The 13,776-nt window shown below is 46.2% G+C and overlaps 1 protein-coding gene across 14 annotated transcripts in view, besides 3 other annotated features; it reads right to left on the bottom strand.

The window, feature by feature from the left end:
- ASXL1 (ASXL transcriptional regulator 1) overlaps nucleotides 1-7,932 on the bottom strand; it is an 80,989-nt gene extending 73,057 nt beyond the window's left edge. For 3 of the 14 annotated variants that reach the window (NM_015338.6, XM_006723727.4, XM_047439945.1), the window contains exon 1: nucleotides 7,431-7,932. In NM_015338.6, coding sequence (NP_056153.2) covers nucleotides 7,431-7,487 — 57 coding nt within the window. In that variant the 5' untranslated portion in view covers nucleotides 7,488-7,932. Of the gene's footprint in view, nucleotides 1-5,456; nucleotides 5,554-6,411; nucleotides 7,278-7,430 lie in introns of those variants that run through there. The other 11 variants (XM_006723728.4, NM_001363734.1, XM_047439940.1 and 8 more) reach the window with 9 other exon arrangements.
- Nucleotides 7,233-7,392: a silencer, noted in NCBI's record as "silent region_12783". NCBI's record gives its function as "represses an Ori minimal core promoter by ATAC-STARR-seq in GM12878 lymphoblastoid cells {active_cell/tissue: GM12878}" and the evidence as "EXISTENCE:reporter gene assay evidence [ECO:0000049][PMID:35858748]".
- Nucleotides 7,633-7,682: a silencer, noted in NCBI's record as "silent region_12782". NCBI's record gives its function as "represses an Ori minimal core promoter by ATAC-STARR-seq in GM12878 lymphoblastoid cells {active_cell/tissue: GM12878}" and the evidence as "EXISTENCE:reporter gene assay evidence [ECO:0000049][PMID:35858748]".
- Nucleotides 10,631-10,700: a silencer, noted in NCBI's record as "silent region_12781". NCBI's record gives its function as "represses an Ori minimal core promoter by ATAC-STARR-seq in GM12878 lymphoblastoid cells {active_cell/tissue: GM12878}" and the evidence as "EXISTENCE:reporter gene assay evidence [ECO:0000049][PMID:35858748]".

Here is a 13,776-nt window from a genome sequence, read left to right as displayed (position 1 = left end):
TTAAAATTACTTCAGAAATCAAATTACACATATATCTAGTTACTGAAAAGTTACTGCAATTAACTGAAATGTTCTAATTCTCAATTCTAAGGATGCATATCTTCTCAGCATACATGGTATAGTATGCGAGACCTTAGCAACACTGGTTACTGTTCAGCTTGATGCTGTTAATACTGCTAAACCACAGAATATATAGTGCTGCACAAGAAATGTATGACACAGAAATGCATTCACATTTTCTTTCCCAAGGAAGTTTGATTAGTATATATATATACACACACACACTAATTTTTGTATTTTAGTAGAGACTAGAGCTAGTCTCGAACTCCTGACCTCAGGTGATCTGCCCGCCTCAGCCTCCTAAAGTGCTGGGATTATAGAAGTGAGCCACCACGCCTGGCCAAGTACCCATATTTTTAAACGGTGCTTTCTGCCACTGTGTTGTTAATTTGTGGTGTTAACTGCCACAGTACGTTCTGCCATCTGGCACATGATGCTATGATTCTGCATGACTGGTGCAATGAGAAACAGAATATCCCATTTATGTTAGCATCACCTATAACCAAGTCATGGCAGTATTGCAGTATTTTCTTAGTGTGCAACTGCAGCTCTCTTGCTTTAAGAGTTGTTTTAGATATGTTATTCTTCTAAAGGAAGAAAAAAGCTGTCAATATCTTTGTACTTTGTCTACCTGTGCAGCTACTCAGGGTACTCCAAATCAAGCTAACATCTTACAGTCCATTTAACTGCCATAGCCAAGTACTGCTGTCACAAGCAAAACATAAAGAAGTCTGATACGATGCTGCTGTCTACAGCCATACCACCCTGAATGTGCCCGATCTCGTCTGATAGGTCTGCTGCGGAAGGTACTCTCTATGGAAGAACATAAGACCTCAGCACCAAAGTCAAGGTTTGGAGAAGGTACTAAAATAAAACCCCTATTTCCCATGGTCCTATTCTTTGCTTCTCTTTTCAGATTTTCCATTCTCCATGGGTAACATTATCATCTCAGTTTCAGCTACTACCTAAATTCTGATAACTACCTAATCTCTACCTCTAGCTCTGACTTCTCCCCCAAATTTCAGATTCAAATATTCAGTTGTGTACTGACTATACCCCTTCATTATCTACTCTAATTCAGCTCTACTCTTAATTCATCTAATTGGCAACTCTAATTCACCTCTTCTCCAGACCCACTCTTCTTCCTGTATTCCCTACCTTGATTGACAGCCTGTATAATCACCTAATTCAGAAACGCAGGTGTCATCTTTCTCGCTCATCTGTCCGCCAAGTCCCAAAACCAGTCTCTTACCTGACCCAACACAACAGCCTCTTAATATTTATCCCTCCATCCAGTCCTGCTTTCCTCAAATCCATTCTGACTCTGTTGTCATCCTTCATTCAACAAACACATGGAACACGTACCTTGTGCCAGACACAATTCTAGGGATTCACAGTAAACAAGACCAAATCCCTGCTCTGGTAGAACTTACATGTTATAGACTGAGGTCAACCCAGCAAAGCAAACCTGCCCTCATCACTTTCAGCTCTAAAATCCTTCAACAGGCCAGGCACGGTGGTGCACACCTATAGTCTCAGCTGAGACTGAGGCAGGAGGGTCACTTGCTGCGCTCAGGAGCTCCAGGCTCTAGTGCACTATGATCGTGCCTGTGTATAGCCACTGCACTCCAGCCTGGGTAACACAGTGAAACCTCATCTCTTTAAAGAATTTAAAAAATATATATGGCTGGGTAAAGTGGGTCACACCTGTAATCCCAGCACTTTGGGAGGCCAAGGTGGGCAGATTGCTTGAGCCTAGGAGTTCAAAACCAGCCTGGGCGACATGGTGAAACCCTGTCTCTACAAAAAAATACAAAAAACTAGATGGGCATGGTGGCTCATGCCCGTAATCCCAGCTACACAGGAGGCTGAGGTGGGAGAATCATCTGAGCCCAGGAAGTGGAAGCTGCAGTGAGCTGTGATGGCACCACTGCACTTCAGCCAGGGTGACAGAGTGAGACCCTGTCTCAAAAAATAGTAATAATAATAATAGAAAGCAAATAAAATCCTTCAACAGCTCCTTAATCACATACTGCAAAAGCTGAAGCTTCCAAAGTCCACTGGCCCACCGGTAAAGAACAGGATCTAGAGTTAGATTCAAATTTTTACATTCTAAACTGGGGCAATTACAACCCAACCTGAACCTAGGTTCTCTTTTGAAGGATACTGATGTCTTCCTCTCGAGTTGTTGGACAGATTAGAGACAATGTAAGTAATGCCTACAATGTCTGGCACAGAGTAGGTGCTCACTGGCCTGGCATATGGAACCCTCACAATCTGGTCTCTGCCTCTCTACCCATCCACAGTGACACTCTACAAACTTTATGTTCCAATAATTTGTAGATATACCTAATTCCCACACGTTGCAAATACACACACTCCCTCTCACCCACTCTGACTCTTTCTCTCCTGCTATGTGTTGTCACCAGCTCCTGCTTATGCCCTCTGTGATTGGCCTAACTCCTAGTTACCCTTCAAGATTCAGCTCAGAAAGCACCTTCCTCCAGGAAGCCTTCCCTGATCTCTGCCAGGCAGAGGTAAATGTCTCTTTTCAATGTTCCCATTGTTTCATAACACATACAATTATCTTCCAAACCAGGACAGTTGAGAGTGAAAGGAGAAACTATGACTAGACAAGAGGCAGCAACTGGGATATCTGTTTATGATTTATACAACTATGATAACACGTATCATGACTGTAGTAAAATTCTGTTCCTGCGTCTGGACCTTCTTCATCCCCAGAAGACCATAAGCCCTGAGGGGCAAACCTTATCCACCTCTGTATTCCAAGAACCTAAGTGCCAAGATGGGCAGTACTGACTTGAACAAACCTACAATAAACCCTGGAACAAGCTACTAATGTTCACTGCCACAGATAACATTTCTTTGATACTAATTAAATGAAAGCTGAGCTGGCGAATTTTTATATCTTTTTTTTTTAAGAAGCATGACTCAAATAGTAACTACCAATTATTTAAACAGCAATCAGAAATAGCCTGAGAATTTAAGACAGGGGAAACAGAATCTCTAAAGGGAAGTTACATCAAAAGATACAAAGTATTCTTTTTTATTAAAACTGTTTATGCCTCCAGCTCTTGGTATAAGAACAAGTCAGCAGTGTTCTATTCCTAGTCTCTTTCTAGACTACATTTTTTTTTTTAAGTATCTCTTCTCTTACTTCAAAGGGGAAAAAAATGTTTGATGTAAGAACTGGTCAGTCATGAATCAAAGTAAAAGATAAAGCATACAACAAAGAGTTTCTCGAAGCCAGGGAGAATCCATTTAGCGTCCTCGATTTAAAGGGAAATCCCCTTGGCTATTTCTCCCAAACAAACTGTTTATAACAAGTTGGAGGATTTATATCCACTCAACCACATAAGGTCTACTTCTTACACCTAGAAAAGACAATACTACAAAATGTGTGAAAGAAAGACTATTTTTCAACAGCATAATTAACATCTGCAAAAATCAATCTCCTGGGGTACACTATACTGAAATTCTTAAGAATCTTCTTTCCTCTACGAAAGGTTTTTTTGTTGTTGTTGTTTTGTTTGTTTGTTTTTGAGACAGAGTCTTGCTCTGTCGCCCAGGCTGGATGGAGTGCAGTAGCTCGATCTCGGCTCACTGCAAGCTCCGCCTCCCGCGTTCACGCCATTCTCCGGCCTCAGCCTCCCGAGTAGCTGGGACTACAGGCACTCGCCACCACGCCTGGCTAATTTTTTGTATTTTTAGTAGAGATGGGGTTTCACCGTGTTAGCCAGGATGGTCTCGATCTCCTGACCTCGTGATCCGCCCGCCTCGGCCTCCCAAAGTGCTGGGATTACAGGCGTGAGCCACCGCGCACAGCCTACAAAAACAATTTTTAAAAGGATTCCCAGTAACACTCTAGTCACCAATCTGAGTGGGGTCAGGAGCAATCTGAAAGCGTTCCCATGGAAGTGCATACAATTGCCATTGCAAGCACTCCAAATTCACCTGCCCAAAGAGAAGTGTTCAGGTGTTCTAATCAACTGTCCTACGTTCCCTCCTAGTCAAGTTTCTCTCAGTCCAGTGTACGCTCTCACAAATTCTCCAGTACAGTGTTACAGCAACTTTTTTTAAACATTAAGAGGACTGGTTTTTTCTTTTGTTTTGTTTTTGAGACAGAGTCTCACTGTCGCCGCTGGAGTGCAGTGGTGTGATCTGGGTTCACTGCAACCTCCACCTCCCGAGTTCAAGTGATTCTCCTGCCTCAGCCTCCCGAGTAGCTGAGGTTACAGGCATGCACCATCACCATGCCTGGCTAATTTTTGTATTTTTAGTAGAGACGGGGTTTCACCATGTTGGCCAGGCTGGTCTCGAACTTCTGGCCTCAGGTGATCCGTCTGCCTCGGCCTCCCAAAGAGCTGGGATTACAGGCGTGAGCCACCGTGCCCGGCCTGGGACTCTTAAAAAGTTCCCCCTCACCTACCATCCAGTCCCATTCAAAGAAATGGAAAATTCTAAAACAAAAAACACACACAAGATACTCAAATTGCATATCACATTCTCAACAAGTCCTTTTTCTTTTTTTCTTTTTTTTTTTTTTTTGAGACGAGTCTTGCTCTGTCACCCAGGCTGGACAGTGGCATGGCCTTGGCTCTCTGCAACCTCCACCTCCCAAGTTCAAGTGATTCTCCTGTCTCAGCCCCCTCAGTAGCTGGGATTACAGGCGTGCACCACCACACCCGGCTAATTTTTGTATTTTTAGTAGAGACTGGGTTTTACCTTGTTGGCCAAGCTGGTCTAGAACTCCTGACCCTGTGATCCACCCACCTCGGCGTCCCAAAGTGCTGGGATTACAGGCGTGAGCCACAGCGCCCAGCCTCATTATTTTTTTAGAGTCAGGGTCTCCCTCTATCACCCAGGCTGGAGTGCAGTGGTACAATCAATCATTGGGCACTGCAGCCTCCAACTCCTCGGCCTAAGCTATCCTCAGCCTCCTGAGTAGCTAGGACCACAGGTGTGTACCACCATGCCCAGCTCATTTTGTTGCTGTTGTTGTAGAGACCGGGTCTATGTTGCCCAGGCTCATCTCGAATTCCTAGCCTCAAGTGATTATTCCACCTCAGACTCCCAAAGTCTCGCAAATCCTTTTTCACATGTATAACAGCACCACAAAGTAATTCCTACTCATAGGCTGGGCGCGGTGGCTCACGCCTGTAATCCCAGCACTTTGGGAGGCCAAGGTGGGCGGATAACCTAAGGTCACGAGTTCGAGACCAGCCTGACCAGCATGGAAAAACCCCATCTTTACTAAAAATAAAAAATTAGCCGGGTGTGGTGGCAAACAAACGAAAAACAAACAAACAAAGTAATTCCTATTCATATTACTATTTTTAATGAAGAGCCTTAGAAGAAAAAGAGGAATAACTTACCCTGATAACCTGGCTTGAAGTTGAGTCAATGATAAAACAGAAATAGCAACCTCGATGTTGAAGTTCAGACCACGGTAAATTCGAGAATCTAAAGAGACTTAACAGTGGACCCCAAATTCCTAAAGTCAACTAGTAAGAGCCAACAGAACTTTGAGACAAACAGATTTCATAATTCTGTCAAGACATAAATAACACAAGACTTAAAAGTACTTTCACCTACCTCTAACAAGTAAAACTCTGGCAAGCAAATTTCCTTGGGTGCCCAGGGTCATAAACACCCGCATAACAGGAACGCCAAGGAGAATGTCAATGAACACACAAAACTCATTGTCGAGGAGGAGAACGAGAGCTCTCTCCCACTCCCCATCAGGCCTATATTTGTTTCCAGGTGCAGAACCGTTAGAGAAATCCTGAAATTTCTACAAGATCCTGAAAACTAGCCCAAGCTTCCAATTTTGACTCAATCAGAAAAAAAATATTTCGGAACCTCAAAATCTTCAAACTTCACATGCCAGGCCAAAATAAACTGAAGCACAAAACTTCAGCATACAAACAATTGCTATTTTTGTTCCCTGGGCAACAAATGACTAGGGAAGAGGATAGCAAGCACCAATGAAAATTCTGTAGCCCAAATTCCTTCAGTTTTTATAAATCTGTAACTTTTACAGACTTCGAGAAAGAAAAAGGTGTACTTCAGGTTTGTGTCAACCCCCCCAATACAGTCTATTTTTTTTTTTTTTGCACAACACCTTTGAAGCAGAAAACTCACTTCAAAATAAGAGAGAAAATTAAGTCTGAGCTTCACTCATCATTAAAACTGAATTACAACCATTACATATAAACTACAGTGTCAAGAGACACTTATGCTATCCGCACCACAACCTCGCTGTGTGACAGATCTTAGGAACTGACATCTTAGTATAACCTGTTACTACTGGTATCAGCAGATAATTACCCGAATATGTCTCAAAGTGTCTGAGCTTTGTGGGAGTAATCCAAAAGGAAGCTATTTCACCTGCAAGTCCTCTGACGCTCTGAACACAAAATTCACAACCCCCATCGGTTGAACGAGACGGCTTCAAACACTCAAGTTACGCTCTCCCTTGCTAAATCCTCAGTGAACAACGTCTCCCAACAGAGATACTTTGTCTTTGTCCAACATACATTCTTTGCAAAGTGGATTCAGTTCTCCTCAAAATACCAATTTCCAGTCCAGCTTCTGAAGGCAAACAGCCCAGTCTGCGTTTCTCAAAGTGGGGTCCGTGAGCCACTGCGTTTGAATCACCTGGGAAGCTGGTGAAAGCGCAGATTCCCAGGCTCTATCCCAGACCCTGAGGCTCAGCAGGTCTTACGAAGGGCCCTAGGAGTAGCGTTCCTAACCGCCTCCCAGGTGTCGCCCACAGGACACTAAAGTTAGAGAACCGCTGCTCAGGGTTCAAGCTGGGAGTAAGCACTTGCTTCCCTCCACGCACCTGGTTTAGATTGGGAAAGCTCAACATGCCATTGGCGTCCTTGAATGTGGGGTCGCTTTTCCACCCCCGGAGTCAAAGGCACCACCCCATTACCCACCAGGAAGCGAGGGAGGAGCTTCCGACCCTTCCCGGAAACCCAACTCCCCCGGGTGAATGAACGAAGCTGCCCCAGACCCCCAGACGCTGCCAAATAGTGGGGGAGGGGACGCGGGACCCCGCTGCCCAGAGTGGGAGGAGCCGGCCTGCCAGCTCGCCCCTCCGCCGGAATTTAGCTGCGCGGGGCGGGGGGGGCGCGAGGGCGAGCGGAAAAAGGCGCCACATCCCATCCCGGCGGAGCGCTCCCCACCCCTCGCCTTGCGGGGCTGTCCCGTTCTTAAAGGAAGATGGCCCCGCCCCCTCCCGCGGTGGGCAGGGCCTTGCCCCTCCCCCCCCAGTGGGGGGGTGCGCGGCGAGCCCCCCCCACCCCGGGCCCCACGGAGCCCCCCTCGGCTGTCCGCCTCACCAGGCGCGCGGCCTCGGCCCACGTGCGCTCCTTCTTCTTCTTCTGTTTGTCCTTCATCCTTCTCCCCGGCGGCGGCGGCAGCTCCACGCGGGACCTCCGGGCTGGGCGGGCTGGGGCGGTGGCGCGGGGCTGGGGCGGCGGCGGCGGTGGGGGGGGCGCGTGGCAGCGGCGGCGCGCGAGGTCTCGGGTGCGGCCGGGGAGAAGGGGCGGGCACGCGGGGACCGGCTGGCGCGAGAGCGGCGGTGGGGGAGGGGCGGCGGCGGCTCCACGCGCCCGCGCTGCGTCAGTCGCCCACGGCGGCAGCGGCGGCTGCCCCGCGATCGCTAAGGAATGCGGCGGCTCCGCATAACCACGGGGTCAGAGGTCACGGCTCCGGCCTCCGCTTTCCCGCTCTGCTGAGGGACTGAGACAGGACCGACGGCGGGGCGGGAGGGCGAGACGCGGCTTTCCCTTCGGCGCCCGGGTGCGTGCGTGTCTGCCGTGGGTGTGTGTGAGTGTGTGTGAAGAGTGAGGAGGGGGAGTGTGGGGTTTTTTTTTTTTGAACAAAAACAAACCGAAAGGGCGCCTGGGAGTCGTAGTCCCAACGGCCTCTCTGGCCTCCCCCGCTCCGGAAGAATATGGCCGCGTGAAGCGCGTGGACCACACTTCCCGGCGTGCCCGGCGGCCCCCTTCCGCTCTCCCTCTCGCGTCCTCCGCCTAGCACCGACCTCAGCTAGGAACGGGGACGGGTCGCTGTTCGGGGAAGGGGCTGGGTGGAGTCTCGCGAGGTGCGAGAACTGGCTGGGGGCCTGCGGGATTCTGGGAGGCGATGCTGGGAAGGGGCGGTGGCTGGGCTCCCCCGGCCACCCTTAACCCCTTCGGTGCTTTTTGCTTCAGGACCTCCTGGCGGGTGCGGGTGGGGAGTGAGGATGGGGAGCTCGACTCGCAGTTCCCACTTCGTGCTTCTCCTCGCCTAAACGGTTCTTACCTACACTTCTCGTAGGGGACGAGAGGCAGGACTTTCCCTTTTGGTCACCTCTAAATGACTCACTGCCACATAATAATGAGACAAAAAGACCCTCATACCAGTAAAACGGTTATTCCACGGCTGATGGACTTAGACGGTTCTTCATTTCTTCCTGTGCTTTCAGGCCGCTGTGTATTTGCAGAGCCTGCACCAGCAGCCTAGAGCGTTCTTAGGAACTTGGTGATATGTTGACGGGTCGTGTAAAGAACTTGGACTCTGGGGCCATACTGACCAGAATGCACCTGAGGGCGTTTTTAGAGGCAGTACCCTGGAGAGAATTCAGGCCCTGGAGTCCAGCGGACCTAGACTGGAATCTTGGCTGAGTCACTCCCTGGCTGTCCACTCAACCTCTCTGAGCCTCAGTTTTCTGATCTGCATTTGTCTTGTATTTCATGGCATTATTGGAATTAAAATTAACATACAATTCTTGACAGATTGGAAGAGGATGTGAAGGGAGATCTTGACATTATCAGGTCCGTATGATATGGCGCCTGGCATAGAGCAAATGTTTAATAAATGGTAGCTGTTATTACCAGCTGAGAAACAATAGGCAATATACTTAGCCTCTCTGAGCCTTAGTTTTAGAACCTGAAATGAAATTCAGAGCGCCCAGCACATAGGTTTTCTGTAACTATAGGTTCAGTCGTTGTCCAGAAACATTTCTAGAGTCCGTCCGGAGTTGGATTGATGCCAGCTCTTAAAAACTATGAAGGCAGGATCAGTGGCCACATTTAAACGGTTTCCCTGGGTGAGGAAACACACTCTCCACTCCCTAATGTTAACACGTAGCGAGAGCCAGTATTGATAGGAGACCATTATGGTGTAGCCCAAACTCTAACGCCAAGGGGTTCAGTGTTTTCTGCTTCTAATACTGGTCACAGAAAACTTGTGAGTCCGGTAAGCAAAATCCTACAAAGGGAAAAGACTGCAAGTTAGAATAAGACACCTCTTAAAAATCTCTCTAGCTTTACCCTGAGAGAAAGGAGGAACTACTGTCCCTCAAAAAACTGTTTGCCTTGATTTTTTACAAAGGATTTTTAACTTCTTTTTTTTCAATCTACGGCTGATACAGTACTCTTTGGCAAGTCATTTGGCTTCTTTCCGATGTCTTCTGAAGTAGCTTTACTGCCCTCTGACCTACAGGGAATAACTGAAATTTACATGTTTAATACAGGTACTGTGGTAGACAGAATAATGTCTTCCCCGCTTGCCCAAAACTGTCCAAGTCCTAGTCCCTGGAACCTGTGAATATGTTGCTTTTTTATTTATTTATTTATTTATTTTTTGAGACAGAGTCTCGCTGTGTTACCCAGGCTGGAGTGCAGTGGCGTGATCTTGGCTAACTGCAACCTCCGCCTCCTGGGTTCATGCGATCCTCCTGCCTCAGCCTCCCAAGTAGCTGAGATTACAGGCATGCGCTACCATGCCCAGCTAATTTTTGTATCTTTAGTAGTGACTGGGTTTCTCCATGTTGGCCAGGCTGGTCTTGAACTCCTGACCTCAGGTGATCCACCCATCTCGGCCTCCCAAAGTGCTGGGATTACCAGCCAGCATTCTTTGGCAAAAGATATTTTGCCAATGGAAATAAAGCCCTTAAAATTAGATGATTCCGTATTATATGGGTGAGCCCAGTGTAATCACATGAACCCTTAAAAGCACAAAAGGGAGGCAAAAGAGATGTTTTGGAGAGATGAGGCAGAGGAATTAAATTCAAAGTATGAGAGGAATTCAACCCACTGTTACTGGCTTTGAAAGTGGCCACAAGCCAGGGAATCCAGGCAGCCTCCAAAAGCTCAGAGGAAGTCCTGCCAAGAGCCAGCAAGGAAATGGGGACTTCAGTCCTACAACCTCACAGAGCTGAATTCTGACAAGCTGAATGAACTTGGGAACAGATTATACCCCCTCCCCAACTCTCTAGAAAGGAATATAGACACCTTGATTTCAGCCTCGTGAGACTGGAAGCAGAGAATCAGCTGAGCCATGGAATCCAGACGTCGGGCCCACAAGAAGCGTGAAACAGAAATGAATATTGTTTTATGACACTAAATCTGTGGTAACTTCTTACAGCCCCAAAAGAAAGCTAATACAGGCATTATGGAAACACCTTTATTTCTTTCAGCGAACACTGCCTGACTTCAGCTGGGTCAAACCATGGGGGAATCCAGATTTGAATATTTCAAGGTCTCTGCCCTTGCAGAATCAGACAGAAACAAGTGACAACATCGTAGTTAAGTGTGAAAACAGTATGTTCAGAGAACGGTACAGATATGTTAGAAAGTTGGCTTTAGTCATTAAACCTTAAGTAGATGTGATTTTTTTAAAGTTAATGAGATTCATGAGTTTATTTTCTTGTCAGAAGCACCAACAGACAAACCTATACATTTTTGGTGTGTGTTTTTCTGTTTTTTAATCACAGTGCTTTTATTATAGATTATCTTCAGAAGTTAGTGCAGGTGGCATGTGGAAGATAAACAGGACAGACACTCAACCCTGCCTAGTTTGGGGATGAGTCACTTTTCAAACTGCACAGTTATAAGCAAAGTGCATATTCAAGAACCAAGTTAACAGGCCACCAGCAGACACCCAGGAATTCCCAAAGGGACACATATATCCCATAAACTGCACTGCAAGATAATATATTCTCATTGGCTCTGCATGTCAGCAGGCCTGGGTTTGAATCTCTGCAGTCTTTCTCCATCCAGTTCTGTGGCCTTGGGCAAGTTATGAAACCTCTCACTGACTCAGTGCCGTCATTTGGACAGCAGGGTACATAGCAAATTCAAAGAATGGAACTGAGATTAAATGAGATCTCTGTAAAGTGCCTAGCACATAGCAGATACTCACTAAATACCAGCCCTCTTTGCCTCCAAAAAGTTTTAGTGTCTAAAGTGTAAAAAGTGCCTCATTGTTTATACTTTGAGTGAAAGAAACCTTGGAACAGGGTTTGCCCCTGTAACAAATGTTCTCTCTCAATAATATTATCCCCGTTTTCACATGAAGCTGAGATTCAGAGAGGTCAGATTACCTCCCTTGGGTCCAGATGATTAAATAAGATTACATTTGCTAAATAAACTTCCAGCATAGCAGATGATCAGTACATGTATAGCTCTCCTTGTCCCTCCCACATTTAATTTATTTGTGTGACTTTGGTTTAGTGATTGTGTTCATGCTAGCATCTTTGGTTTCATCATCATATCCCCAGTGCCTGGCACAGTCTTGGCACATGGTAGGCACCCAATCTGTTGAATAAATGACCCGATCTCCGTAATTACTTTACTGGAGAAACTCTGAAGACTAATTTCCCTTTGAGCCCTAAACAATGTTTGGAACCTGCTCAGGGAGAATCGGGAAAGACCAAGACAGGATTTCACCCAAATATATCTATGCAAGTTATAAAGATGCTCATGGATAGAGAGCATGACTTCAGCTGGGCGTGGCAGCATGTGCCTATAGTCCCAGCTACTCAGGAGGCTGAGGCAGGAGGATCATTTGAGCCCAAGAGTTTGAGGCTGCAGTGAGCCATGGTTGCGCCATTGCACTCCAGCTTGGGTGACAGAGCAAGACCCTGTATAGGAGACTTCATGACCTTATTATTGTCATTAAGTCACAGAATCTGCCCATGTGATGGGCAGCCCTAACTCATAGCTCACCTTCCATTCACCATCGTTTAAATCCTGCTGTTCAGTCTCCCAGTAGGGAGGAAAACGTGTTTAAATTACCAAAATGTCTTTTTCGTTTGTTTGAGACAGGGTCTCTCTGTTGCCTACACTGGAGTGCAATGGTGCAATCTCAGCTTATTGTAGCCTTGACCTCCTGGGCTCAAGTAATTCTCCCACCTCAGCCTCCCAAAGTGCTGGGATTGCAGGCATGAGCCACTGTGCCTGGCAACAAAATGTCAATAATGGTTACCTCTGGGTAACCATCAGACTATGGCAACTTTTGATTGTCTTTTTTTTTTGAGACAAGGTCTCACTCTGTCACCCAGGCTGGAGTGCAGTAGCATGATCATGGCTCACCGCAGTCTTGACCTCCTGGGCTTAAGCCATCCTCCCACCTCAGACTCCTGAGTAGCTAGGAGTAGGTAGGGCCACAGACACATCCCACCACCCCGAGCTAATTTTTTTTTTAAATTTTTTGTAGAGACAGGGTCTCGCTATGTTGCCCAGGATAGTCTCGAACTCCTAACCTCAAGTGATCCTCCTGCCTCGGCCTCCCAAAGTGCTGGCATTACAGTTGTGAGCCATGGACATATTACCTTTTGTTTTTGAGATAAAGTCTTGCTCTGTCATCCAGGGTGGAGTGCAGTGGCATGATCTTGGCTTATAGCAACCTCTGCCTCCCAGGTTCAAGCAATCTTCCTACCTCAGTTGGTGGGATAACAGGCATGTGCCACAACACCAGGTTAATTTCTGTATTTTTAGTAGAGACAGGGTTTCTCCATGTTTGGCCAGGCTGGTCTCAAACTCCAGACTTCAAGTGATCTGCCTGCCTCAGCCTCCCAAAGTGCTGGGATTATAGGCATGAGCCACCACGCCCGGCCCATATTACACTTTTTAATTGAAAAAAATTCTTTTTCATTTCAACCGCAAAACATAGAACATTTAGATTAAGGTAGTAGCTATGGGTAATATTTTTTCTTTTTTATATTTGTATTTTCAAAACCTAGAATTAGTATGTGCTACTTTTATGATGGAAAAACAAATTCCATTCTTAATGCAATATACCTCAACAATGTGAAAACAACTTTAATAATTATTAATATTTTTATTTTGCTTAAAAAGATTTGTGGGACCCCCTAGAATGGCCTCAAAGGAAGGATAACCTGAGCTGCTTTTTACCGAAATCACGGAAAATGGCAGCTCTCTGATGCTTTAAGGTTTTCAAGTATAGATTTCAGGACCTCAATAAGGTACCCATCCCAATTTTTAATCTCTCTTAATAATGCAGAGATTTACTCACATCCACCATAATGCTTCTGGCCTCAGTTTAAGCCATTTCCTCTATTATTTCCTCTGTGAAAGAAGGAAAAGAACCTTTAAAATGTATTTTAACATCAAAATGCTGAGCGGGTGGTGTGCCCAAGTGATGAGAGCGGTGAATGGGTTATTTCTTTGTTTCCCATGATTTATAATAAAAACATCAACTTACACCCTACCCTAAATGACTTTTCTTCCTCTAATAACTAAATGTGAAGTTGGGGGCTTATATAAATGGCTTTTCACAGGACTTAACTCTTGAATTCCAAAACCATCATACGAGGTGAATGAGAAAAGTGGGCCAGTAAAGAAAAGACACTTTCCCAAGATTGCACAATTGGTTGTTGCTGGAGTCAACATTTAA

Source organism: Homo sapiens, chromosome 20 (genome assembly GCF_000001405.40).
Source record: "Homo sapiens chromosome 20, GRCh38.p14 Primary Assembly".
NCBI lineage: Eukaryota > Metazoa > Chordata > Mammalia > Primates > Hominidae > Homo > Homo sapiens.
This window is presented reverse-complemented; position numbering and strand designations above follow the sequence as displayed.